Genomic DNA, 27,622 nt, shown 5'->3' with positions numbered 1-27,622 from the left:
CAGCCTGGGCAACATGGCAAAACCCCATCTCTATAAAAAATACGAAAATTAGCCAGGCGTGGTGGTGTGTGCCTGTAATCCCAGCTACTTGGGAGGCTAAGGCAGGAGGATCACTTGAACCCAGGAGGCAGAGGTTGCAGTGAGCTGTAATTGTGCCACTGCACTCTAGTCTGGGCGACGGAGTGAAACCCTGTCTCAAAAAACTAAACAAAACAAACAAAAAACCCAGTGGATTAACCCAGAAATTTTCACACACATTACTGATGATACTGGGATACAGTCTGAGGACAAAACAAAACTGCAAGAAAATCTTGAACTTCATAGGTTTGTTGTTACTAGTGATACTGATGTAGTAACTCCAGGAACTATCTTTTCTGCATATTGAATAGAGCAGTGAGTAAATATATTGGTATTGTTTAGGAACGGGGTTCTCAATATGAGAAAAGGAAGACAAAATGTGGAATGGGGAAGATGAAGAACCCTGTTGTGTTGAGTTCAAATTGGAGATACCAGTGTGAACTCAAAAATTTATAATAAATTTTTCTAACTCTGTCCATTAAAAGGGCCTGGAACGAGGGACAGCTCAGCAGCAATGAGTACCTAGCAGTCAGATCTTGTTTGTAAATGCATTTCCTGCTAAAAGGAACAGGGCTCCTTGGAGAAATGTTTAATTCCAGGTCTGGCATAGGGGAAGTACAAGGTGAGCATGGAGTATCTTTTTGTGCCAGAAAGCAAGGACATGATCAAAGACAGATGGTGACATGTTAAAAGGACACAGGAGCTGGCTTTCAGAAGCTCCCACTGGTCAAATTGGAACATTTTAAACTTTTTTTTTAAAGGGTAATAGACTATAATATATTATTACTTTGCGGGGGAAACAGGATCTGTGAGTTCATAGCACTACTCCAGAAAAGGGATGAGATGACATTCTTTATAAAAGCTTACTGGCTAATATATGTTGAAGGAATGATAGAATTAGCAAATTGCCATTTTGCAGGCACCAGTGCAATAAGCGCTTTAGGCAAGAATCATCTATGGATAGTAAAACTATTGGATGAGAGATTGTTGGAAAACAGAGTATCTATGCAGTCTCAAAATATCATCCCACAGATTTCTCATTAATTCAAATGAGAAAATAGATTTTTACCATTGAAAAAATCTCAGGAATACCACTTTACCTGAGTAATCAAACCTACCGTCACCAAAATGGGGCAAGCTATCCAACATCACTTATATAATAGTCTCTTAAAAATGTTTAACATGAATCTAACTGTGAGGAGGCATCAGATGAATCCAGATTGTAGGACATTCAACAAGATTACTGGCCTAGACTCTGCAAAATGTCAGTGTTATGAGAGACAAGACCAAGAAAAGTAGGGAGAGTTCTAGATCAAATTAATCTGAGAGACAGGACGTAAGTATAATTCGAGATCTTTGATTGGCTCCTGAACTGAGGCAATTGGGGAATAGCTACAAAGAACTTAATAAGACAGTTGGGGAAATTTGAATGTGTACTGTATATTAGATAATATTGTATCAGACTCATTGGGTGTGCTGATGGCATTGTGGTTATACAGAAGAATTTCAATGCTCTTAGGGGATATAGGCTAAAATAGGGGTAAAGTGTCATGATGTCTACAATTTTCAAGTGAGAAAAAATGTATAAACATAGATAAAGCAAATGTTACAAATGTTAGTTGCTGAATCTAAATGAAGGGCATGTAGATATTCACCATGCTACTTCTTCAATGTTAATGTAGTTTGACCTTTTTCAAAATAAAATGTTGGGGTAAATGAAATGTGTGCTGCAGTGGTCAGGGATTGCTTTGTGGAGTCAATGCCATTTGATCAGGACCTTGAAAAAGTAGTAGGAGATGGACAGAGATGACAAGGGATGGCAACCATCAAGTCAGAGGTGGGAATGAGTATAGCATCGCTTAGGATCCAGTAGAGGTAGGTAGTAGGCAAGTAATCAGAGACGAATTTGAAAAGACGTTTGGGTCCACAGGATGAAAGTCCTTTAATACCAAGTTATTGGAGGCACATCTGATTGTGTAGATAATAAGGAGAGAAATGATAAGTTCTTGATGAGAGGGCCTGAGGGAGTAGTATTTGAGTAAGTTAGTCTGTGGTGGTGGAGTGCTGGATGGACTGGAGAGTGGAAAAGAGGTTTTTTTCAGTAATCCAGGCATGAGGCACTAGACATGTGGCTTCAAGGGATGAGTGTCAATGATTATGTAAAGAAAGGAGCGAGTCTGGGAAACGATTATAAAGAACCTAAAGGTTTCTTTGACTGGCAGTAGGGGATAACTGAGAAGTTGGGTCAGAAAATCTGTCTCAGTGGTGCCATTTAGAGTACAAATTTGGGGGGAAATTCTCCACTCCTCAGGGCCGCCTCCATACCCCCAGGTTTAGGCTGAGCAGAATCTGAGCTCTGCTGCCAAATTTTGATGAGAATGTCCTCAGGAAAAGGGAGGGGCCACCATTAAAATCTTTTCTATCTATGACAGCCTCCATTTCAGGCCAAACTACCCTCCTCTCTCCTTTCCTTGTTTCTCAGATTTTTAACCTTCCAAGGTCTTCCTCCCAAATATGTGCTCAGACTCACAACCCAGCTGACACAATAGTCTGTCCATTGATTCTATCCACCAGGCCTGCCTTCCATAGGCATTTCTTCCTCCTTCAGTTCAATGGTAGTTTTCTCTCCTTTAAGCTCTCAGAAAAAAAAATTTTTTTTGCATCTGTTGCAAGTATACTTACGTTGCCATCTCCTTGTCCCCCACATACCTGCCCTAGCCTCTGATTTTATTTTAGAGAAACTTTTGGTTACTGCTGAAATGGTCTTTGTCCATGCCCCTAACAATTGTTGACAGCAGGGACATGGACCTTTTGGTTCATTTGCCTTTGATTATGTGGAACTGCTCATGCCTCAGCTCAAATGCAAACCAAATCAGGTTCTCAGGTTCAGATGCACCTTCTAGGCTTTAATATGGGCATAGGAAACCAGCTTCCTGGTGGGGTCAAGAACAAGGCAAGAAGGCCCGAGGTGTCCCAAGATAAGATGGGCTTTCTCTTTAGGTAGGAAGGAGGAGGAGTTCAAGCCCAGCGTGGATAGCCCTGTGCAGTCATAGAGAATAAAGTAGGCAGAACATGTAGGAGGAAGGAACAGTATAGGCAGAGACAGAAGCCAGAAACCATAGCAAGTGAAAGGAGGACAGTAAAGAGCAGGGACCAAGAATAGGACTGAGCCCCTCCCTATTGCGTCAGGCACTGGGGACACAGCAGCAAGACCCTCTCTGCTTTCATGGACCTTCCAACCTTGCCTGTCTGTACGGCTTTACAGACAAGTGAACAGCGCATTTTCAGTTGGGTATTTGAGCTGCAGGAAGGACAGATACTGGGAGCTGTGGAAAACATCAAAGGGCACTTCCCCGGGCATCAGGCATTATACTTCCTGTTAGATGCTGTGGCGAATGGCCTAGCTGAGGCCAGATGACTGTTCTCCCAAGTACAGTGGGGAGGTTCTAAAAGGTTTTAAGCAGCAAAATGACATGGGTAAATTTGGATGTTAGAAAGCTGATGGCTGTTAGTAAGCTCACCTTGTGGCCAGGTGCCTCCCCTGGGTCACTCTTGGCTCTGTTGTGGTTTTTCTTCGAACCAACCATCCCTAGTGTCTTGTCTGGTTTATGTCGTGTTTTGTTTTTCTTTCTCTTTCTTCCTCCTGTCCTGCGTTGCTCTCTCCTGGGCCCACGCTCTCTTCTTCCTTGATGTCCTTCTCTCTCTGATCCAAAGATCAGCCAGTAAAAAGCAGTCTCACCTGTCCAGGTAAGAGGGGTGCCATTGTGAGGGGGAACGAAGACCCACTCCTTTATATTTATAAGTTACTTGTACCCTCACATGGTTTCAAACATTAAAAGTACCAAAGAATATAATAAAAGCCTGCATTTCCATTCCTGTGCCCCAGCCACCCAGTTTCCCTCCTCAGAGACAACTGTGTTATATGTTTCTTTTGTATTCTTCCAGAGATATTTTAGATATTTTTGGATATGTAAATAAATATTTAAACATATATAAACACATAATTTTATTCTCTCCTTTACTCACTTTTTTAAACTGTCCAAATAATTCTATATTTTGTTTATTTCACTCAGTAACATATCATGGAGATATTCTGTATCATGTATAAAGAGCCTCTTCATTCTTTCTTATGACTGAGTTCTGTGTCATTGTATTACTGTAATTTATTTAACCAGTCACTCATTGTGAACATTTAGATTATTTCCAGTGCTTTGCCATCACACACAGTGCTTCCATGAGTAGCCTTCTACTTAGTCTTTTGCTATAGGTAGGATAGGAATTGCCCCTTTCTGAGGGGCAGCAACTATTGATTCAGGAACTTGCAACTTGTACACTTTTCCAAAAAGGAGTGCCACAGCAGTTATTGAAATTTCTTCTATTCCTGTGAGGGTCCTAGTTGAAGAGGAGATGAAGCAGTGAATCCTTTGGTTTGGTGATGTGTACCACTTGAAGGTTTGGGGTCTTTAGTAGTTTCTAATTAGGCGAGGTGCCTCAGGCTGGCTGAGGGACTGGAGCTGAATATGGGGTTGGAATACTACCGCCAAACAGACCAGATTCCTGTCCTCCCATGGTACCCAAAGGATAAATGGAATTTTCAAAGGCTTGGGCCGTTCCTCTACTGTCTTTTCTAGAAAGTGTGCAAGTTGCCAGTTACCCAGCGGGCTTATACTCATGCCCATTTACCCTCCTGGAGATCACTGTTATGGAGAGGTGGAACTTTGAGGGACAAAGAGATGAAGCTAAATGGGGAGCTTGTCTCTGCTGCCACCACTACAGCCACATGTTGTGCTCATGCAGACCTCTGTATGTGTTTGACCCACCTCGTCCTTCCCTCCAGTCTCCCCTTCCTTTGCAAATCATTGCCTAAAACTAACTGGCTGTTTGTTTTTTCCCTGTCTTTTTCTTGCATTCATTTTCTCTGCTGCTCCGTTCTGTTCCATCAGCCCCATTGCAGCCTGGTAAGACCCAACAAGCATGTACACGTGTGCACATCCCCTTCTTGCTATTGTCTCTTTGTCGCCTAACTCCAGGAAGGGTTATTTCCCTTCACACCTTGCTGGGTATTAAAGAGATCATGCTTGCCCTGCCAGCCCAGGATTCCAGATAGGTGGTGTTACCAGTGGTGTACACATGGCTAATGTCCTACCAGATTGGGTTACAGGGCGGGTAGGTTGGTCTCTCATTATCCAAGACTCAGGGCCCCTTTTGACAGAGCCTCCATCTACTACAAGGCTGATCCCCCCTGCTGAGCTCATTGACATGCTTTCCTTACTCCTTCTCCAGGTTAAGTAGCCTGTCTTCTCTGGGAGATTCTGCACCAGAGCGCAAGTCCCCTTCCCACCATCGCCAGCCTTCGGATGCCTCTGAGACAACAGGTAACCTCCTTGGGCATTAACATACAAAAACAGCCAGGCATGGTGGCACATGCCTGTATTCCCAGCTACTTGGGAGGCCAATGGGAGGATCGCTTGAGCCGAAGAGCTCTGGTCTGTAGTGTGCTATGCCAGTCAGGTGTCTGTACTAAGTTCAGCATCAATATGATGACCTCCCAGGAGCAGGGAACTACCAGGTTGCCGAAGGAGAGGTGAACTGACCCAGGTCAGAAATGGAGCAGGTCAGAACACCCATGCTTATCAGTAGTGGGATCACACCTATGAATAACCACTGTACTCCAGCCCGGGCAACATAGTGATACTCCATCTCTTTTTAAAAAAAAAAAAAAAAAAGGCACATGGCTGGGCGTGGTGGCTTATGCCTGTAATCCCAGCATTTTGGGAGGCCAAGGCAGGCAGATCACTTGAGGTCAGGAGTTTGAGACCAGCCTGGCCAACATGGTGAAACCCCGTCTCTACTAAAAACACAAAAATTAGCCAGGTGTGGTGGTGCGTGCCTGTAGTCCCAGCTACTCAGGAGGCTGAGGCAGGAGAATTGCTTGAACCCAGAAGGCAGAGGTTGCAGTGAGTCGAGATCGCGCCATTGCACTCCAGCCTGGGTGACAGAGCAAGACTCTGTCTCAAAAGAAAACCCACATGGACACAGAGATGTACACTCATACAGACAGATCTGTATACTCCAAATGTAAAGCAACTTAGTGTTTATGTTAAGCACATGATGTATACTAGGCATTGTGTTAATGGGTTTTATATAAATTGCCTCCGTACATCAACATAGAAACTAGGTTTTATTATCTTTATTTTGCAAATGAGGGAGCTGAGGCACAGAGAGGTTAAGAAATATGTCCAAGTTCGCAAGCTTACTGGGGACTTGAAACCAGTTCTGTTTTAACTCTAGAACCCACGCTTTAATCATTGCAGGATGCAATCACACATACTCATACACATGTACGATGTCTAGTATACACTCACAGGAATGGAGACATTTGGTAGTGATAACCTCTGTTTCTTTTTGTTTTTTAATTCTGTATTTTTTTAAAGGATACATGACAAGAAGAAAACCCTTTTATTTCAGAAATAAAAGGGTTTTCTTCTTGTCATGTGTCCTTCCCTAGATTTGGCAAGAGACCACTCCTAAGTCACCCTGCATGAGTTATCCAGCTCTATAAAAAGAATCAACAAGCATTGGTATACCACTTGCTGCATTCATTGGATGTCACTTAACATGTAACTTCTAGGCTCACTTGGGCTTCAATCCTGGGAGGCTCCTTATTGGTAATATTAGTCTTCAGGAGGATGGCTAGACCTGGTCCTACCCCTTCTTTGACCAGTCTCACCCGGGCACACCAAAAGGGACAGACATGTTTGTGAGAGACAAGCATTTTAGCACCTCAGAGAAGGGTAGTTTCTTATTTGGAATACAAAGTTAAGTTATAGGTTTTGCCAACCACCAAGGGAGGCGTGTCATTGCAATAGTGTTTAGACAGGAATAGTCTAGGGAATTTGTTTAGTGTGAAAAGGCTTCTTGAAGAAGAAAGGCACTGGGGCTTCCCTGGGTTGGTCTTGGCATGTGTACACTAACCTCCCAGTGACACTGCGTACTCAACCTTTCTCTCCGCCTTCCAGGTCTCGTTCAACGCTGTGTCATTATCCAAAAGGACCAGCATGGCTTCGGCTTCACAGTCAGTGGGGATCGCATTGTTCTGGTGCAGTCTGTGCGGCCTGGTGAGTGCTGCATCCCTCCTGCCCACGGTGGACAGTTCTTGCAAAGCCACCATGTATGTGACAGTGCCATTCTACCTGTGCTTTCCTGTGGGGCATGAATGAATTACTCTAGAACTGGTTCTCCATGGGTGCGTGGGGAAGCCTCTTCAATGCTAAGCCCCCAGGCAGAATTTCTAGAGATTGCACCTCATGCTCGCTTCCCTAGCTGGAAAGTGAAAAACCAGCAGAATAGCTGTCAGGTCATCATCAGGCAGATGTCTGATTGCCATCGAAGGGAGCCCCTCATACTGGGTCACAAGATTCCATGGAGGAATCAAAGGCCCCCTTTCTTCATATTTACCTCCACATTACCTGGCTAAGTGCACAGATGGTCACTTTCTACAGAGGTTTATAACCTGAGACAGGCACAATGGTCCAAATGATTACAGAGCACATTTGCTGATACAATTAACATTAAATAATAAATTACCAACAGATGAATGATATATGTTGGATGTGATGTCAGGGGAAATGGTGTTTGGAAGTTTGAGTAGTTTGTGATTTGAGGCATAGTCATTTTCCTTGTGATCATTTGGGAAGCCCTCTTAAAAGAAACAGGATTTTAGAAGTAGTTTGAAAGATGGAAATGAAAAGCAAATCAGCAGGATAGGAATTTGGTGGGAAGGAAGTGAAGAGTGGGTGGGCATCATAGCCAAATCCATCAAGTTACCAATTGTGTATAGAAGGGGTGTGAACAGTCAAAACTCTAGCATATGCCAGGTAGTGGAACCACTGTTGGTGGTCCAGGCTGAGGAAGACAATCAAAAAGGCGATGGGTGGCCAGCTGTGGTGGCTCACGCCTGTAATCTCAGCACTATGGGAGGCCGAGGCTCGCGGATCACGAGGTCAGGAGATCGAGACCATCCTGGCTAACATGGTGAAACCCTGTCTCTACTAAAAATACAAAGAAATTAGCCAGGCGTGGTGGCAGGCGCCTGTAGTCCCAGCTACTCGGGAGGCTGAGGCAGGAGAATGGCATGAACCCGTGGCCGGAGCTTGCGGTGAGCCAAGATCGTGCCACTGCACTTCAGCCTGGGTGACTGAGCGAGACTCCGTCTCAAAAACAAAAAACAAAAAACAAAAAAAAAAGAAAGGCAGTGGGTGTGGGAGAGTCCTTAAAGGGTAAAGAAGTGTCCCTAAAAGGAGTGAACTTCAGTGCAGTAAGTAGCATTGGGCTGGTGACATGGAGCATCCTAGGCTTGGCTTAAACAAGAGCACAAGGAAGGGATTGGGAGCAGGTTTCCTGATAGTGCAGAGCAGGAGGGAAAATATACTTGCATTGATTTTGGAGGAAGATATGAGATATGTTCACAGGAAAGGTGAAAAGAGAATTTCAAATGTATGACCAAAATGAGTATGTGGATCATATAAGGATATAAATAAGTATGGCTTCTTATATTTGGGAGTAAACTTATATCAGTGGGAGGTTTGTTTTGCATATCCTGGGGTGAAGCTCTAAAAAGATAGTTTTATTATTTGCTTCTCTTATTTCTCAGGGTTCCTGGACTAGGGTGAGACAGAGTTAGTGGAACTGCCAGTAACTTGTACTTTTCCTCTGCTGGTCTATCTGGTACAGAAAATGTGTATGGGATCCCCTCCAGTGAAGTCAAGGTTCAGCTCTCCTTTACCTTCTTCCTTCTCTTAGGCTGAGCAGAGTCAGACCCAGAGAAGAAAGAAGGAAAAGATGGCTTACAGGGAGAATATGAGTTCTAGAGTCTGTGTGTGTGAGAGTTGTGTGTGTGTGCATGCATGCATCCCTGTGTGCATGTGTGTGTTGGGGAGGAGAGTAAAAGAGACTTCATTTGGATTGGCATTGAAGTCACAAGAGTAACAAAGCAGCGGTTATCTTTTCCAGATACATATTAGGTTTCTTTAATTCACTGTCAAAGTATAGTCTGTGTTCTGCCTGTATTAGAATCACCTAAGCCCAAGATGATTGAAATCCTTTTTCTTGGGGCTGACCTCGGAAGCACTGAATTGCTTTCTGGCAAGAGGTCCAAGAAATACACTTTTTAAAAATTCCCACAGTGATTCTCAGGCTTGCTGAAGTCTGAGAATTTCTGCTCAAGTTCCTTAACTCTGAAGAGTTTAGTTTAAAAAAAAAAAACACTAAGTTATTAGAAGTCACCTCACGTGTTTCATACATTCAGGCAAGATAGTTCTGTTGTCTTTAACGTTAGTTTCTAAATGAACGTATAAGAGGGAATTTCAAGCTATTTGCAAGTACTCTTCCATAAATAGCACACTTTAGCTGAGGGTAGTCTTGAGTCCCAGTATTGAAAAGCCAAATTGGAATGTAGTCATCACTGAATTTTTCTTTTTAGAGTAGAAACATTTAGATGGGCTTTGTGGGAGTTTTGTTTTGATCAGAGGAATGCAACTTAAAGATTTAATGATCACGTTGGGGCAAATGTACAATATGTAATTTTTATGCTTCTCATTAACTTGTTTTGGCTTTAGTGTTTTTTGTGCTTCCTGGATGTAAATTAAACTAGGAATATAAGTCATTTAAAACTATCTTGTGAGGCTGGGCGAGGTGACACATGCCTATAATCCCAGCACTTTGGGAGGCAAAGCCAGGAGGATTGCCTGAGCTCAGGAGTTCCAAGACCAGCCTGGGCAATATGGTGAAACCCTGTCTCTACAAAAAATACAAAAATTAGCATGTGTTGGCACATGCCTGTAGTCCCAGCTACTTCGGAGGCCGAGATGGGAGGACCACTTGAGCCCAAGATGTTGAGGCTGCGGTGAGCCAAAATCGCACCGCTGCACTCCAGCCTGGGTGACAGAGTGAGACACAGTCTCAAAACAAACAAACAAACCATATTGTGGTCAAAACCACTGTAGCCTCCAGTTGAATGACAAGTTGCAAAAGTCAAGAGCATGTTCTTTTGAGCACCTCACAGTCAGTCACCATCAGAAGCTCTTAATTTGGTCCATTTTAAAGGGAGAAACTGGGCTGAGTATGGAGGCTCACGCCTATAATCCCAGCATTTTGGGAAGCCAAGGCAGGAGGATCACTTGAGCCCAGGAGTTCAAGACCAGCCTGGGCAACACAGTGAGACCTCATCTCTACAAAAAAAAAAATTTTTTTTTTTTAATTAGCCAGGCATGGTGGCATGCACCTGTAGTTCCATAGCTACTTGGGAGGGTTGAGTTGGGAGGATCACTTGAACCCAGAAGATCCAGTCTGTAGTGAGCTGAGATCACGCCTCTGCACTCCAGCTTGGGCTACAGGGCAAGGCTGTCTATAAAAAAAAAGGAGGGGAGAAACTGTAAATGGCTTAAAACAGTTTTTTTAAAAGAAAGAAAACAGTTGTCTTTAATGATGTGAATACCGAGAATATCTTTATGAACCTCTCAGGACTTAGGAAACTCTTGTTTTAATCCTTTTCTCTGAATTTCTCTTAATTATTATTTTAACAATTATGTTTCATACAGTAAACTCATTTCCCCCCCCCCCCCCGGAATATAACTGATTTGACCTTGGAACATATCCAGATACACTCGAATGAAGCACACGTGCTCTTCCCAGAGCCTGGCCCTGCCTCGCTCCTGCCTTGGCCTGGCTATCAGAAGTCTGGCATCTTATTTAGGTGAAAGGAAGAGCAGGAGATGGGACCTTATATAGTTCACTCTAGCTTAAAAGTAGTTGTGTCACTGGAGTAGAATAGGAAGTACACCCAGAATTTGAGATACTTAACACAGAGAAATAAGAGGAAATTTCAGAGGAGAGGTGATCTGACAGGGACCTTCGTGTAGCTTCAGTGGAAGAGGTTGTTGGGCACTGCTGACCAGGCCTTCTCCTTACAGGAGGTGCAGCCATGAAGGCCGGTGTGAAAGAGGGCGACCGGATCATCAAAGTGAGTGACCCCAACACACACTCCCACTCCCAGCAGTGGAAATAGATGTGCAGGGCACTCCTGGCCTTGGCCCATCCTGCACACTTTCATCTTGATACCAACTGCCAGGCAGCCACTGAGTTAGGAGTGGTACCATACGAGGGAGCACAGTGGTATAGCATGAGAGAGAGTGAGGAGGAGGATAGCTGTGTTCTACATTTTAGGCCTTTCTTGACTCTAAAGCAACCAAGCTTCTAGAACAAGTTTTATTATTCTTATTTCACAAATGACCAAAATAAGATTAAGAGGGAGGGTTAGTAACTAGTGAAGGATCCAAGACTTCAATTCTCAGGTTGATATTCTTTCCTCCATATAATGCCAACCTGGGGTCTTTGCCCATTCTGAACTACTATAACCTGCCCTGGTCGTTCAGACCTTTCTTCGACAGAATGGTGTTCAAGACTAGCCTGGGCAACATAGTGGGGTGCATTAAGGAAATCCTAGATGCAGAGACTTCTTAGTCCTCTGTAATGAGGAAGCACACTGGGTCAGTGGACATTCACATGTGTGTGAAGCAAATGGTTAGAAAAGTGTATACCAAAAATAAGTGAATGAATGAACAAATTAAGGAATGAAGACACAGGTCTTGTCCTTGAAAACTCATAGGCTAGCTGGAGAGACAGAACAAATAGCAGATACAAACAGAACAAATTCATAGTGTGACTTGAGTAAACAAGTGACCAGAGGAGGCTAAAGAGCATTGGAAAATGGCTTCCTAAAAACATGGCATTTTGGGCCAGGCGCAGTGGCTCACGCCTGTAATCCCAGCCCTTTGGGAGGCCAAGACGGGCGGATCACAAGGTCAGGAGATCGAGACCATCCTGGCTAACACAGTGAAACCCCATCTCTCCTAAAAATACAAAAAATTAGCTGGGCGTGGTGGCTGGCGCCTGTAGTCCCAGCTACTCAGGAGGCTGAGGCAGGAGAATGGCATGAACCCAGGAGGTGGAGCTTGCAGTGAGCCGAGATGGGCCACTGCACTCCAGCCTGGGTGACAGAGCAAGACTCCATCTCAAAAAAAAAAAAAAAAAAAAAAGTGGCATTTTGAACTTACAGAAGGATCCCCTAGCTGTTCATTACCATTACTCAATACTGTTTGTCCCTCCAACAGGTCAACGGCACCATGGTGACCAATAGCTCACACCTGGAAGTGGTAAAGCTGATCAAATGTGAGTTGGAGAGAGGTGACAACTAAAGTAGGGAAGCAGATGATCCGAGAGGGAGGAAAGGAGGGAGGAAAGGTCAGGCCTGGCATTCCAGGAGGTTTCCTTTGTAGATATGTGAGGCAGCTAAAGTCACATCTTTAATCGTAACATGGAGTGATCCACTTAAGTGGCCACAATTCCCTATTACTTCAAGTGGAGACAGTACTAGGCTCTCATGAGACATCTTCATTTTTACCCACACTCATCTTTGCCACACCTATTTAGACCATATCCTACTGAGACCAGGTCTCCCTCAAATACCTTTCAATTCCCTCTGCCATTCATGGACATTCTTCCTCATTTGTTTTCTGTTTGGCAGGGAAAAGCAACAATAATCTGTTTATAGCCAGGAAGGCCCAACAATTGAGTCTGCACAAATATTCAAATAGAAACAACAAATGTTGAAGAAAGAATTGAAGAATGTGGGAAGTTTGGGGAGAGCAGAGGGCTAGAATCTGAGTGCCTGGTCTGTGCCATGTGGGCAGTATGCTCAGAGTGTGACACTGGCTACTTACTTTAGTGAGATAAAGGGGGAAACAAGAGGCTGCTGAGGCAGCCTGTGGGGCGTGTTCCCAGATATTTATGAGTGGAATTCTAGTTGAGGTCTCTGCATGAAGGAAGGGCAGGAAGTAGTACTTGGGCATGAAGGCAGGGATTAGAGAATGGGTGGGGCATTAAAAGTGAGGAGAACTTAATCTACAGAATAATGAGTTTAATGACAGGACAAGGGAGAACAGCCCCCTCCTGTATAGCTGGACTGTCTCTCCAGAACAGCACTCCTGGAACAAGTCTCTCTCTGTTTCCCTCTAGCTGGCGCCTATGTCGCACTCACCCTCCTGGGCTCTTCACCTTCATCCATGGGCATCTCTGGGCTCCAGCAGGACCCATCCCCAGCAGGAGCTCCCCGAATCACGTCAGTGATCCCCTCACCACCACCTCCTCCACCTCTACCACCTCCACAACGCATCACAGGACCCAAACCTCTGCAGGTAATAATCCTCCTGGCTTTCTTTCCTCACCCTAATGTCCTGTTGAAAAGCTCCGCATTGGGGAGGAAAGCAAGTTAAATCCAGTGGGGCTGTGGTAAACAGAGACAAGCCAAAAGACATATGAAAGACCATTGAAAGAGTTGAACAAAAATGAAGGCTGCACAATAACAGTTGTTCCATGCCTTAGTGTCCTCCTTCCATGCAAATGCATATGAGGTTTTATCACACAGCAACATTGTGTGTTTCCTAAATGTGTAGAAGACTCTAAGGATGCTGTCTAAAAGTGCTCCTCATCAGAGAGAGAGTGTACACTTCAGGCAGGGGCAGAATGCATCTGTTTAAGACCATTGCCAGTCAGTGTTAACCAGGGTTTGGAATAAAGTCAAGGAGTGGGGGAAAGGCTTCCTAGAGAAAAAAGCCTGCTTTGAGGTGCAAAATATAGAGCCCACTCAGTAGAGGGAGGGACCAGAAAAGGACAAAAACAAGTAGAGGCTAGGCGCAGTGGCTCACACCTGTAATTCCAACACTTTGTGGGGCTAAGGTGGGAGGATCACTTGAGCTCAGGAGTTCGAGACCAGCCTGGGCAACATGGCAAAACCCTGTCTCTACCAAAAATACAAAAAATTAGCCAGACATGGTGGCATGCACCTGTGGTCCCAGGTACTCAGGAGGCTGAGGCAGGAGGGTTGTTTGAGCCCAGGAGGTGGAGGTTGCAGTGAGCCATGATCGTGCCAATGCACTCCAGCCTGGGTGACAGAGTGAGACCCCATCTCAAAGAAAAAACAAAACAAAAAAACAAGTAGAAAGAGAACTCTAGAAGCAAGAAACACCTATGTGAAGAGTTAAAAGAGGACAAGATGCAGACAAGTATAGGGAACAGGACTTTTCAGTTGGAATGAAGACTGAGCCCACAAGTCCTGGGAGACTTTAGAGAGCAACTTGATACCAAAGGTGATTACAGCCAAATTGAGGCATAAACTCAAAATAAGATTTTGTGTTTACTGCATTCCGGCAAGGTACTGAATAAAACATACTTATGATCCAGGCTCTATTCTCATAGCTGTCCTTGCCCAGGAACCAGCAGATAGAAGAGAGCTAAGCTGTTGAGTTAGTCCCTAACTCTTATATTGCCATATTTTCCATGTCTAGGATCCCGAAGTTCAAAAACATGCCACCCAGATCCTCAGGAATATGCTGAGGCAGGAAGAAAAAGAATTACAGGTAAGGTCACTGCCAAGGGTAGACTGGCCATTGCCTGAGTGAAATAATACTTTATCAGAGCAGCCTGCCAATGTACACAACTTAATTTACAGGCAATATCCTATCACAGTAAAACCTCAAAAAATAAAACTTCCGGACCACTAAAGAATTGTCATTGGCCAGTAGAATTTGTTAAAGCAGAATTTCACCAATAAAGTGAATAGGATTCTCCATGTGTAATAGATTAGGATAGTGAATATGTACACAAAAAAAAGTCAACAGAGTTTATCTGGGACATTTCCAAGGAAGGGAAGGAAAAGAGGGAAGAAAGGGATGGGTAGGTGAGTGCTGGGCCAGACTGAAAGAGGTGGGGAGCACTTGGGTGAAGGATGAAGAGAGTTTACAGGCCTAGGAAGTGATGTGCACAGAGAACAGTAAGAAGATTAATTTACTGGAGTGGAATAACCAGATTCCTATTATAGCCATCCATGTAAGTGCCACCATATATAAAACACTGTTTTAGTTTCTAGGCTATATAGAAATAAAAAAGATTAGATGGTTCCTCCCCTCAACATGTTTAAAATCTAATGGAGGAAATTCAAATTACAGTAGGAGGGAGAGTGGGAGGAACAAAGAGCTTACAATAAGAGAACAAAGAAGAGAAAAATTAATTAATAATGGGAAATATGGGGAAGCACTTCACAGAGAGGATAGTATTTCAGCTGGGCCTTGAAGAGTGGTACTTTAGTAGGCAAAAGAGATGAGGGAGGGAATGCCAGTGAAAAGACAGCATAGGTCAAAGGCACAAAGATATGAAAATACAAGTATTTATTTCACAAGCACTGAGTCCTTGCTATATGCTAGATACCGTGTGTGTGTGTTGGAGCAGTAGATGGGGGTAATGTTAGGGGTGGGTGTTGGAATGGTTACAAAGATAAACCTCTCCTTTAATGAGTTAGTGATTCCATAGGATATGGATGAATGAATGAAGATATACTATATTATGATAAGTGCTAACATTTATATATTGGCAAATGTCAGAGTAATCAAGACAGTATAATACTGGTTCAAGGATAGACCTGTAGATGAATGGAATAGAATTCACATGCCAGAAATTAACCCATACATCTATGGTCAATTGATTTTCAACAAAGGTACCAAGACAATTCAATGGAGAAAGAATAGTATTTTCAACAAATGGTGCTAGGACAACTGGATATCTACATACAGATACTTAATTTGGACCCTTACCTCATACAGTAAACAAAATTTAACTCAAAGTGGACAAAGACTTAAATGTAAGAGCCAAAACTATTTTTAAAAACTGTAAAACTCCTAGAAAAAATTTTAGGTGGGAGTAAATCTTCATGACCTTGGATTGGGCAGTGGTTTCTTAGATATGACACCAAAAGCATAACCTCCCCCCAAAAAAATAGTTGGATTTCATCAAAATTTAAAGCTTGTATATGTCAAAGGATTCTATCAAGAAAGTAAAGACAACCCATAGAAGAAATGGGGAAAAATATTTACAATTCAAGTATCTGATAAGGATCTAATGCCAGAATATATAAAGGACTCTTAAAAGCTCAGCAATAAAAAGACAACCCAATTTAAAAACTTGCAAAGGATTTGAATAGACAGTCTCTAAAGAAGACAGACATACAAATGGCCAATAAGCATGGGAAGATGCCCAGCATTGTTATTCACAGGAAGATGCTAATCAAAATGACAATGACCTACCACTTCTCACCTATTAGGATGGCTATAACCAAAATAATGGAAAATAACAAGCGTTGTGAGATGTGGAGAAATCTAAACAATACTTGTTTATGTTTTGTCTGCATATTCACTGTGCTAATCTATTCCGCCATTGATGGTGGGAGTGTAAAATAGTGCAAGCACTCTGGAAAACAGTTTGACAGTACTTCAGAACATGAAACACAGCAATACTATATGACCCAGCAGTTCCACTCCCAGGTATATATCCAAGAGAATTGAGAACATAGGTTCACACAAAAACTTGTACATGAACATTCATACCAGCATTATTAATAATAGCCAGAAAGTAGAAACAACCCAAATGTTCTTCCGCTGATGAATAGATAAGCAAAATATAGTCTGTTCATACAATGGGATTTTACTCAGCCATAAAAAAGAAAGAAGTACTAATAAATGCTACAACATGGAAGAACCCTGAAAACACTATGCCAGGTGAGAGAAGCCAGACACAAAAATCTACAGGTCGTATTATTCCACTTACATGGAGTGTCCGAAATATGCAGATTCATGAACAGAAAGTAGATCAGTGGTTGCCAGAGGGTTGAAGGAAGGGGAAATTGGGAGTGACTGCTTACAGGTACCAGCTTTCTTTTTGGAGTTACGGAAATGTTCTGGAATTAGGTAGTAGGGGTGGCTGCACAACTCCGTGAATATACTAGAGACCACTTAGTTGTACACTTTAAAATGGTGACGTTTATGTCATATGAATTACAGCTCTATAGCAATTTAAAAAAATTTTAATGCTCTTAAAGTCCAAAACAAAGCATAATTATTTATGCAATAATCAGAAGGCTTCGTGAGGTGATGCTTGAGTTGGATTCAGTCTGCTGTTAATAGAACGTTGAAAATGTCAGTGGGACCAGGAGTGGTAGCTCATGCCTGTAATCCCAGCACTTTGGGAAGCCAAAGTGGGAAGATTACTTGAGCCTACGAGTTCAACACCAGCCTGGGCAGCATAGTGAGACCATGTCTCTAAAAAAGTTTTAAAAATTAGCCAGGCATAATGGTGCATGCCTGCAGTCCTAGCTACTTAGGAGGCTGAGGTAGGAGGACCGCTTAAGCCCAGGGGTTTGAGGCTGCAAAGCTATAATCGCACCACTGCACTCCAGCCTGAGTGACAGAGCAAGACCCTGTCTCAAAAAAAAAAAGAAAAAGAAAAAGAAAAAATGCAGTGAGTCTTGTGACTGGAAGGTGTTATTGGCCATGAATACCATGAGGAGCTTGGAATTTGTTTTGAAGTCTGTGGGAATTAATCAAAGAACTTTGAGTGGGGGACTGATGACATTTTCAAACCAGTGTTCTTTGGAGAAGTGTGTTAAATGTAAGGAAACCATCGAGGAGGCTATTGCAGTAGATAAGCAATAATGACAGATTTAACAAGAACAGCAGGAGTAAGAGCAAAAAGGAGAGGATAGCAATGGGAGACTTGTCAGAGGGCCAATCAGTAGAACTTATCCATTGGTGAAGGAGAAGAAAGAATAAAAGATGGCTCCAAGTTTGTGTGTCTGGGTAGATCAGGTGATACCAGTGACAGAGTGAGATAGAGGAGAGGAGCAGAGCTTAGGGGAAGGAAATGAAGGTCAGCTTTGGGTATACTAGTGTAAGGTGCCCATGAGACATTCAGATAAAAACCAGCCACCAGGCATATGGAGATAACAGGGCTGAACTTAGGAGAAAAGCCTGGGTTGAAACAGAGATTCGGATATCCTCAGTATGAAGGTGATAGTTGAAACTGGGGACTGGATGACCGAAAGAGATCACCCAGAACACCAGTACAGAGAGGAGAGAGCTGAGGATGGAATTTTGGGACATAGGTGCTTCTACAGCACATGGCACCAACCTCTAATAATCACACCACTTGCTATTACATTTGATTTTTGAAAGAGTAGCCTGCGCAGTAATGGGAGGAAACTAGATTGTATATGTTGATGAGCAACTAGAAACAAAGAAGTGCAGGGCCCTAGTTGTAGACTAATGTTTTGAAACATTTGGCTGTGGGCTGGGCATGGTGGCTCATGCCTATAGTCCCAGCACTTGGGGAGGCCAAAGTAGAGGATCACTTGAGGCCAAGAGTTCAAGACCCCTGGGCAACATAGCAAGCCCCTGTGTCTATTTAAATAAATAAATAAAATAAAATCAGAAAACCACAGGCTCATATCCCTTTACAAAAAAAGAAAAAAAAGTGGCTGTGAAAAGAAGGGGAAACAAATGGGGCAGTGGCTTGAAGAATCATCAGAAATGATTGAAAGACTTTTGTTGGGGTGGTTTGTTTTTGTTTTAAATCAGGAAACTCGAACATTTTGTAGGATGGAGAGAAGGAGCCATTGGAAAAAGGAGACTTTGAAGATATGTGAACAGTGCCCAAGAAGAGCCCAAAGCAGTCAGAGGGTTAACTTTTTGAAAGATTTAGACATAGTTTTTCTTCTGAGCCAGGAGAAAAAGATGACTGAAGATGTTTTGAAATGGAGTACAGTTGGGAAGGTTTTTACCAGATGGTATTATCTGCCAAGGCTAGAGAAGGGTTGGGGTTTGATGGGCATGGAGAAGATGAAATATTAAGTATGGGGAATTTGTAAAATGGTTGTCAGGTAGTAGTGAAGCCCCAGATGAGCCTAGATAATATGTGAACCCAATGTCTTTATTTACCAACAAGCTTTATGGAGCATCTCCTTTTGTAATGAAATGTTAATAGCTGCCATGTATTCAGGTATCTGACTTTGCGCTAGACATTCTGCTAAGCACTTCATATACATAATCTCACTCCACTATTACACCCGTCCCATGAGGCGGGTATTGTCATCTCCATTTTATCAATGAGGATGTATTCAAGCTTGCCCAAGTCTATACAGCTAGTAAGTGGAGGTGCCAGAAGTCAAAGCCAGGTGTCCCTAACTGTGAAGCCCTGAGGAGTGCTAGATAAGTGGCTAGGATGGTACCTGCTCTCCAGGAGCTTCCTGAGGATGGGACTGGCACAGGCATTGGCTGTTGTAGTCGACACTGCTTCCTCTCATTTCTTGTGGTTCCATTGTGTGTAGGTTCCCTCTTAAGCACTTTTTTATGTTCTGGTCTGGACAATCAAATATTTCATACTTGAGTGGTAGCTGAAGAAGGCCTCATTTGGGATGTGGGACTTAAGGCAGACCTTGAAGAATGGCTCAGATTAGGACAGGCCTTTGTGTTTGTCTTCTTTCTGTGGTTGTCTCCTGTGTTCTTTTTCTCATCACTTACATCTTTTTCTGATCCTGAATGATGTTGAAATACCGTGCATCTACTTGGAGGCAGAGACCTCTTCTCTCTCATCTTTGTTTTGGGATAACTGCCTATTCTCCCCACTGGTGAGTCATCCATTCTCTATTAACCACCCCTCTGCCTTTTCCCCTCCCCCTTCTCCTCCTCACCCATCCCTAGCGTATCTGTGAGGTCTATAGCCGGAACCCCGCCAGCCTACTGGAAGAGCAGATCGAAGGTGCCCGGCGGCGAGTCACTCAGTTACAGCTGAAGATCCAGCAGGAGACTGGTGGCTCAGTGGTGAGTGATGTAGGCACAGCTCTAGTAAGGGCACATGCAGTAGAACTGGGGGTAGAGTGAGGGAAAAAGCAAGGACAGAAGGCTTCTTGGGTTATGCCAGGACCTCAAGGCTGAACTAGTAAGTGTTTAGTATTTTACAAAGAAACCAAGGTCAGCACCAAAGAGGCTGAGCATTGTAGTGACACTTGGGATACCATAAAAAGAAAAAGCCTATTTCTTGCCCTCCAACAACATAGGCAATGGAAAGAAAGAAATATGAAATAAACAGATTGTCAGTGTTAGTCTCTGAATTATTCTTCCCTTCTGGGTAGTTCTTCATAGTGGATGTATGTACATTTCTATACTGGTTTTACCCAGTATTTCATCTGGTACCCTTTCCCACCACCTATACTCAAGTAATGAGTCTTCTCAAAGAAATACAAGTACTTTTTAAAGTCAGACTACATAAAAGACCCCCAGTCTGTTGAGATGGATCTGTATCAGCAGATAACCACACTTTATGGAAAACTCCAGAGAGTAGATGATTCTTTATCTATTCTCTTCAGGGACTTTGCTATTAGTGTCTTACTGCTCTCCATCAGGCCTTAATTCTTGGGGTAAATAAGAAGTAACTCTCCAGAAACTTTAAGGTCTCCAAGAATAACATTTGACAAAGCCAATAGGAATTAATTAAAGATGATCTACTTTTGCTTTTAGGATATCCAGATCAAAAAAGTTTGGGAAACATAGGCAAATACATTTAAACTGCTTCATTTTCTGAAGGACTTCTCATATTACATGGCTGATAGGTAGGAGCTCAGGTTGTGGACTTAGACCATCTGGATTCAAATCCAGCATCACTTCTCATCAGCTTAAAGACTCTTGGGCAAGTTAATTAATCCATAGGAGCCTTAACTTCCTCATTTATAAAATGGAGATCACAGTGTTGTCAGAGTTAAAGCATGCCTTTGACAGAGGGGCTGTACATGTTTGCTGCTGCCACTGCACTGTTGATTGTGCTATGAGGTGATGAGTCTGAGAAACTAAGCTTGGAATCTGAAGGTCTGAGCGCCAACCCTGGCCTTAGGGTTGACCTGCTGTGTATCTTGGGCAAGTTACTTAAGATCTCTGAGCTTCTGTTTCCTCATTGATAACATGAGAGTAACATGCCTAAGCCAGAGCCATTGAAAGATTAAATGTGACATAGAAAAGTGCTTTGTAAACAGCAAAGCACTATCAACATCGCTTCCTTCACATCCCACTAGCTCAGTCAGTCTCAGGCCAATGCCTGTCCATCCTCCTCAAAGATCTCCAAAGGTAAACCTTTTATATCTTCCCTCGGTCACCTGCTTGAGTCTTTTTTTATACTTCTTGATGGTTAAGAAGTTCTTTCTTGTATCCAAATAAGGCAATAGATGCTTTGAGGTCCAGGGTGATTGGATAAAGCTAGCTTTTAGAATTTCAGTAATGGTAAAGCTCCCTTTCCACCATTAGGGGTCATTGTCATCCTCAAACTGTACAAATGAAGCAATATCTCTTCTAGCTGGGCATTTTTGAGGCAATGAAGCGGAAGAGGCCACTAATTGTAAGCAAATAAGGCACTGATTGGTGAAAGAAAACCGTAGGGGGAGAGGCTCACAGAATTTGCCCACCCTGTGGGCCTTTCTGTTTCAGGACATACTTCCACTATATGGTGACACCAGCCAGAGACCATCAGAAGGTAAGTCCCCCATCACCCCTTTTTTCTCTGGCATATCTCTAGTCCAGGTTTCTTACCTGTTTACCCTCCCCATGGGGCAGATTCCAGGAAAGAAAATATATAGTGCCTGCCCTCTGAGAAATGAAATAATGGGAGAAAGCAGTACAAATACACAGGGAAGCTGGATACAACTTAGGCAGTAGAATAGAGTGTATAGCCAATAGCCGGGATAGATAAGGGCTAGTAAGATACCAGAATGAGTATGGTCCAGACAGCAGCTTGCCTGACAGCTCCTGGCACTAAGGAATTCAGCAAATATTTGTTGTAAGAAGAAATGGGTGGTGACCAGAAGAGGGTTGGGAAGGAGTTGAGGAGCAAAACTAGTTGTGAGAGAGAGTTATGGAGTCTTATTTCAGGAGGTGACATGGCCTGTGCCCAGGTGCATAGACAGGTGAAAGCTAGATGTGATGAGAGCAGAGGGGAGGTGTGCCGGGAAGTGTCCGAGTCTAGAGGTCATGGGATGAGAGAGCTGAAGGGAAACTGGTGAAAGAAAAGGTGGCAGCTCCCTCTTCCTGCCCTGCACACAGGTGCCCAGAATAAAGGCTCTCTTTCCCCTAGGCCACAGCTCCTTCTGTGTTATAGAAACTATTTTCTTCTCAGGCCGGCTCTCTCTGGATTCCCAGGAGGGGGACAGTGGCTTGGACTCTGGGACAGAACGCTTTCCTTCCCTCAGTGAGGTGAGTCCCAGCAGGGCAAGGCCCATTCAGAACGTGCATTCGGGGTCCCTTCCCTTGACCCAAGTTCTGCTGCCTACCAGCTGCACTGAGGCCTCTGTGTGCCTCTTCCATCGTTCTAGTTCCAAGGATATAATCACTGTGCTCTGGGTTCCAAAGCAGAAATTTCAGATGCATCCAACATGCAAGATTATCAAATCTGGCTTTCATTTTATCATTGTCAACTCTGTTATATAAAGAGTAGGGTGGAGAGGGCGGCCATGGCATTAACTGTGGCAAGCCTTTGAGAGTGAGGGAGCAGAGACGAAATAATCTAAAACAGTGACTTGACCAAAAACATATTTCCACCTGTCCAGGAATAACATCGTCTTAGATTAATACAGTGAACCCAACCTATTCAGAAGTGGTAGTCTTTTTTTGCTGTGGATCTTTTTCTTCCCAAATAGCTTGTCTTTTCTGGAATGACTAAAAGAATTTCAGGTTTTGACCTCAAAGGTTATCTCTTCCAGGTGTTCTCAGTTTGCACATGTAAACTATGAACGGCAATACAAAAGTAAGAATGAATGGAAGAAGTAGTAATGAAGTTAGCAAAATATTTGCTTAGCCAGAGTAATTAAATATGTGAATATGTGGTTGAAAAGATGTTAAAAACCTAATTTTAGATCACAATTGGAATTTTATTTTCTTACTGCCCTGTCCATGGGAAAATGGTGAAATATATGTGAAAGGATCGGTATGTGGGAAAGTCACCAAGAAAGTGGAGTGGGACAGGGATCCTAAAGAATCTACAGTTGACATTATCTGGAAGGCCACAGAGTTGGTGATGAAGAGTGTGTGCTGTGAGTTGAGGCTGCCTGGGTTAAGTCCAGGATACACCTCATGACTAGCTCTCTGACTTAGCAAGTCTCATAACCTCTTGGAGTCTCAGTTTCTTTGTGTGAAAATGGGACGAATAATAGTATCTACCTCAAAGGGCTACTGTGTGAATCGAATGAGATAATGTGTAATGAAGGGCTTAGTATAATACCAGGCACAGAGCAAGTACTGCACTTCTCTTAGCTGATGTTATAAGTATGGTTATCACCACCAACACCAAATGAGCTGAGCCTTGAGGGTCTTCCGGACAAGGTTCCTTCTCACAGAATTCTTTGTTTCTCTAGTCATTGATGAATCGGAACTCGGTACTGTCAGACCCTGGGCTAGACAGTCCTCGAACCTCCCCTGTGATCATGGCCAGGGTGGCCCAGCACCACAGGCGGCAGGGCTCGGATGCAGCAGTCCCCTCAACCGGTGACCAGGTGAGTGATCTGGAGCCACCCTGCAGTTTTCCTTTTCTCAGAAGTGAGATTTGGAGGCATGGGTGTTACCAGTACATCGTCTTGGATCATCAGACTAAACCCCTGCTTCAGCAACCCAAACTTTGAGACAGTCACTTACATAGAGAGCAAATAGTAAAGAAAGAGAACATGGCATAAATAGAGATATGAAAGTAAGGCTGGCTCCATTTCTATGTGGAGAGTGGGTGAATGCATCTGTAGGGAGTAACAGCTAAGGAGCGGATAGCTGGTCTTTCTGTCTATACAGAATAGGAAATAGGTTTAGGCAGTGTTTCTCCAGGATACTAATTTTCAGTTTCCCCGTTCCTTAGCAAAATCCTTTTCTCAAACAAAATCTTATTACTTGGAACCGTAACATAGAAAAGAAAAAAAAAAAACTCAGCTCCCCTAGGACCTTTACTGATCAACCTCCCCCTGCCCTCAAGGGCACTTCCATGGAGCCCTAAGGTTCTGCAAAACCTGATTTGAAAGGCCCTGCTCTCAAGGGTGGAGCTAGATCCAGGAGAGACTTCAGGAAGATGGGTTTTGACTTAATGCAAACAGCTTGCAAAGAAGCTGGGCTGTCTGGCAATGGAATGGACTTGAGAGCCAGAGAATTGCCTGTTGTTTTTCAGACACCGTTAACCGTGTCTAACAACGTTCAGACGTTGTTAGACATCTAAATATTCAACGTTCTACCTGTATAATGTTACTTAATATTTTTCTTTAAGCCAAGTTTAAGTTCTTTAAACTTAAATTCATCTCAAGGAAATCTGTCATTACCTTAAATTAAAACCAGCATCATGATACACTGTAAATGTAGAGTAAATGTAACACTAAATATAAGTTTAGAACCAAGTTTGTTAAATTCTACCTAGAAAGATATAAGACAGTGTAGAAGAAAGCTGCCATTTATATTAAAAAGAGGAAAAGGAGCCTCTTTCTTAAGACATCTCTGGATGAATGTTTAAGAAACTGATGGTTATTGCCTCTGATGAGGGGAATTAGTTGGCTTGAGGACGAAGTGGATGGAAGACTTTTTATTATCTTTACCCCTTTGTGTCCTTTTAATTTTAAACTACGTGATGTAACTTGCTCAAAAAGTAGAGATAAAATTTAAAACAACCCGAAAAATAAACTCTAGATCAATTCTATTGCTTGTCAAAGGCTTTAATTAAGCTTGAGGGCAATTCTGCCTTGGTTAAAGGTATTAAAGCTATGCAGGCACCAGGCTGAAATTTTTCCTGGGTTAATCAAAAGGATGGAATGAGAACTGAAAAGAAACTAACTTTCTTACAATATGAGCCAGTATTATTTAATGCCATGTCCAGATAGCACCTAAAATCATTTTGACCCTCAACAAAAATCATCTCACTTAAAATCCTTATAGTTCCACTTCCCATGCTGGAAAACACTGGTGTCAGGAGTTAAACAGGTGGTATTTTCAAACTGTGGGTTGTCATCTTTTGGGGAGTCATAGTTTCAGTATTGAAGGTCATGAGCAGCATCTGTTTTAATGAAGTAGAATCTAATAGCATGGAAAAGAAAATAACAGAATTCATCACATGTAATAAAAGTATTTTGTGAAACTTCTGTTTTAATTACATATGTGTGTGCTGAGTTGCAGTGAAAGCATATTTATTAGAAGTCATGGTCAACAGAAAGTTTGAAAGCTACTTTCTGGAGTTCTTTTGACTCTGGGAGCCTGTTAATCACTGAGTCCAGGAGGAGGTCTTCAGAAGATGGGGTCTCTAAAGTAATTTGGATAATGAGGGAGAAATGGTACAAGGAAGAAAACAGAGCAAACGATAATCCTACTCACTGAGCTCTCTTTGGTGGTGTTGTGATTTTAGTAAACTTGTCCTCTCACCTTGGAGTTCAGGGTTCCAAGCAGCATCTTTTTTCTCTTAGAGCATTTATCCCTCTGCTGTTACTTCCCTATGTGGCTTACCTCAACTTTATATGCTTTATCTCTGTAGGCACCTGGCACATAGTAGCCACCTTCATAATGTGTAGTGAATGAATGACTGAATGGGAGTAATCAAAATTGTCTTCTGAGTGGCATCTTAGGGGAGGACTTATCCAGGACACAGAGCTCTTAAGTTTCTTGAAGCTGAAGTTTCACAGTGTGATCTGTAGAAGAGAGGATCATGGCCTAAGTGAACATACTTTTTTATAAATCTAGAGTTATGCAGGCATCAAAAGAAAATTCTAATCAAGAGCTACTGTGCAAAAGAAGAATACATGTGACCAAGCCTCTCTGAACCTATTCTGGTTGGGCTGCCAAATTCACAAAAAATAGAATTTAAAAAAGATGACAACATATGATACTCTAGTGTTACCCATTGTATAAAGTTTGGTTATTCTTACAATGTGGAGGGGAAAGGTGGGGAAAAGGATCGGACAGGTATTAAAATGCCTAGTGTACCAGCTGCTGTGCCAGATCTTTACCAAAAAATCTCAAGTAATTCTCACAATCAGGAAAAAAGTTGGCCATTAGAATCTTCGTGTGGTCTAAGGGAATGTTCAAGGGCTAGCCTTGTTACTGGCAGGGTCAGAACTAGAATTTAGTTCTCCTGGTCCCCAACACGGAGCTCTTTCCTATCCTAGCCGCTCTTTCATTGCCCTCTCTATACCCCTATCTTTGTAGAACTAAAGGACCAAGTTCAGTTTGCTAAGGGGTTCAGGCGTCTATCCTGTTCTAGGAAAGGCTTTCCTTCAGGTGGCTCATAGAAGCAGGTGTGGGGTCAATAGTGTTGGAGCCCTTGTTTTCCTTCTGAAATTTTTTCATCTTCTGAAAACTAAGTTGGTATTTTCAAGTGTTAAGAGCAAATAGAGTATAATTTCCAGTTTCTTAGTAGTAATAAATGTTAATAACAGCATAGGAAGAAAACCTATACTTTCCATAAAACTGTCAGCAGCAGGGAAATGGATGCATAAGGAACTCTCACTTTCTGTTATGTCATTCTATAACATTTGATCTTTTTAATAATAAGCATATTCTACTTTTGTAATCAGAAAGAATATGTATTTCTAAAGACTTTAAAAAAAATCCTCCCCGTAAACAAGCAAAAGCTTAGTGCTTTTCAGGTTTCACCAGAGAGCTCAGTAGAGCCAGAAGTGCTCACCCACCACCTTCTGGGGCTCTCAGACCCCAAGAGGGTCAGAGAGTAGGGTGTTTCGGAGAGGAGGATACTCAGGATGTGTCTGGGAAATACAAATACAGCACATCAGGCCTGATTCTGCAGCTTTGAGCACACCAGTCAGTCTGTCTGGGCCTCACTTTTTTCAATTATAAATGAGTGTTAGACTCTAGTGTCTGAGATACCTTCTGGGCCGCTCATGTTCTGTGACTCAGTCATTCTGGGCATAGAGACCATAAATATCCAGGAAAACAAAAAAGGGGTGAGGAGCATCAGAGAGGAACTGTCAGGAAAAGCCCCTTAAGAAAGTGGGTTAGGAGGGTATCATAGGTCTGGGTTAAAATAGGCACATTTAAGCTGAGTGGGTTCCAGAAGCAGAGACCTTGTTGGGGAATCACTGGAAATGAAAAATATCAAATTGAGTGAGAAATACAGTTAGTAGAAAAGCTTTGAAAGCTCAAGGAACCTTTAGGAGAAAAATTTGTTCAGTGAAGCATCTGAGAAGTTTATGCAATATGAAGTCTTATCATACCTAATCCATGGCATGTCCATTAAGATTAGGTTTTTATTTAAATTAGCGTAAGGGGGAAAGAAAGGAAAGCCAGACTAAGAAATTTGGATTTTAGACAGGTAATGGGGATCTAACACAGATTCTTGAGCGGGCAAACAAAATAATGCAAATGGTGTTAGAGAAAGATCAGCCGCATCTCCATTTGTTCAGAGAGGCAGAGATCTACTAGTAGGCTCTCCGATCATTATTTAGCCACCAGTACTTACTAGGCACAGAATAACTGTTCAGTAGCACTGTGGTAGACACTAGGTTTGGAGGATGTGTGTTTGGGGTAGGGGTGGCTGTTTACTCTATTAAGTAAAACAGCCCCCAACCCAGCAGTCCAGCAGGAGCTGTTGGCTC

At 42.8% G+C, this 27,622-nt stretch overlaps 1 protein-coding gene and 1 pseudogene across 24 annotated transcripts in view, besides 1 other annotated feature; both read left to right on the top strand.

Moving 5' to 3' along the window:
- The window catches only part of ARHGEF11 (Rho guanine nucleotide exchange factor 11), a 112,064-nt gene that overhangs the window by 55,369 nt on the left and 29,073 nt on the right, over positions 1 to 27,622 (top strand). For 9 of the 24 annotated variants that reach the window (XM_047435294.1, NM_001377418.1, XM_047435300.1 and 6 more), the window contains exons 2-11: positions 5,362 to 5,453; positions 7,098 to 7,196; positions 11,049 to 11,098; positions 12,249 to 12,306; positions 13,153 to 13,331; positions 14,481 to 14,552; positions 19,719 to 19,838; positions 21,492 to 21,537; positions 22,177 to 22,253; positions 23,411 to 23,548. In XM_047435294.1, the coding sequence (XP_047291250.1) occupies positions 5,362 to 5,453; positions 7,098 to 7,196; positions 11,049 to 11,098; positions 12,249 to 12,306; positions 13,153 to 13,331; positions 14,481 to 14,552; positions 19,719 to 19,838; positions 21,492 to 21,537; positions 22,177 to 22,253; positions 23,411 to 23,548 (931 nt within the window). Of the gene's footprint in view, positions 1 to 3,792; positions 3,826 to 5,021; positions 5,037 to 5,361; positions 5,454 to 7,097; positions 7,197 to 11,048; positions 11,099 to 12,248; positions 12,307 to 13,152; positions 13,332 to 14,480; positions 14,553 to 19,718; positions 19,839 to 21,491; positions 21,538 to 22,176; positions 22,254 to 23,410; positions 23,549 to 27,622 lie in introns of all 24 variants that reach the window. The other 15 variants (XM_006711662.4, XM_006711660.5, XM_006711661.4 and 12 more) reach the window with 6 other exon arrangements.
- RN7SL612P (RNA, 7SL, cytoplasmic 612, pseudogene) lies at positions 5,486 to 5,780 on the top strand (annotated as a pseudogene).
- Positions 9,785 to 9,977: a silencer, noted in NCBI's record as "fragment chr1:156951350-156951542 (GRCh37/hg19 assembly coordinates)". NCBI's record gives its function as "represses an EF-1alpha promoter that drives an FKBP-Casp9 reporter gene in an ReSE screen in phorbol 12-myristate 13-acetate-treated (for megakaryocytic differentiation) K562 erythroleukemia cells {active_cell/tissue: K562(+PMA)}" and the evidence as "EXISTENCE:reporter gene assay evidence [ECO:0000049][PMID:32094911]".

The sequence above is a fragment of the Homo sapiens genome, chromosome 1 (assembly GCF_000001405.40).
Source record: "Homo sapiens chromosome 1, GRCh38.p14 Primary Assembly".
NCBI classification, from domain to species: domain Eukaryota; kingdom Metazoa; phylum Chordata; class Mammalia; order Primates; family Hominidae; genus Homo; species Homo sapiens.
Note: the sequence above shows the minus strand (reverse complement) of the source record. Positions and strands in the feature narration are given on the sequence as shown.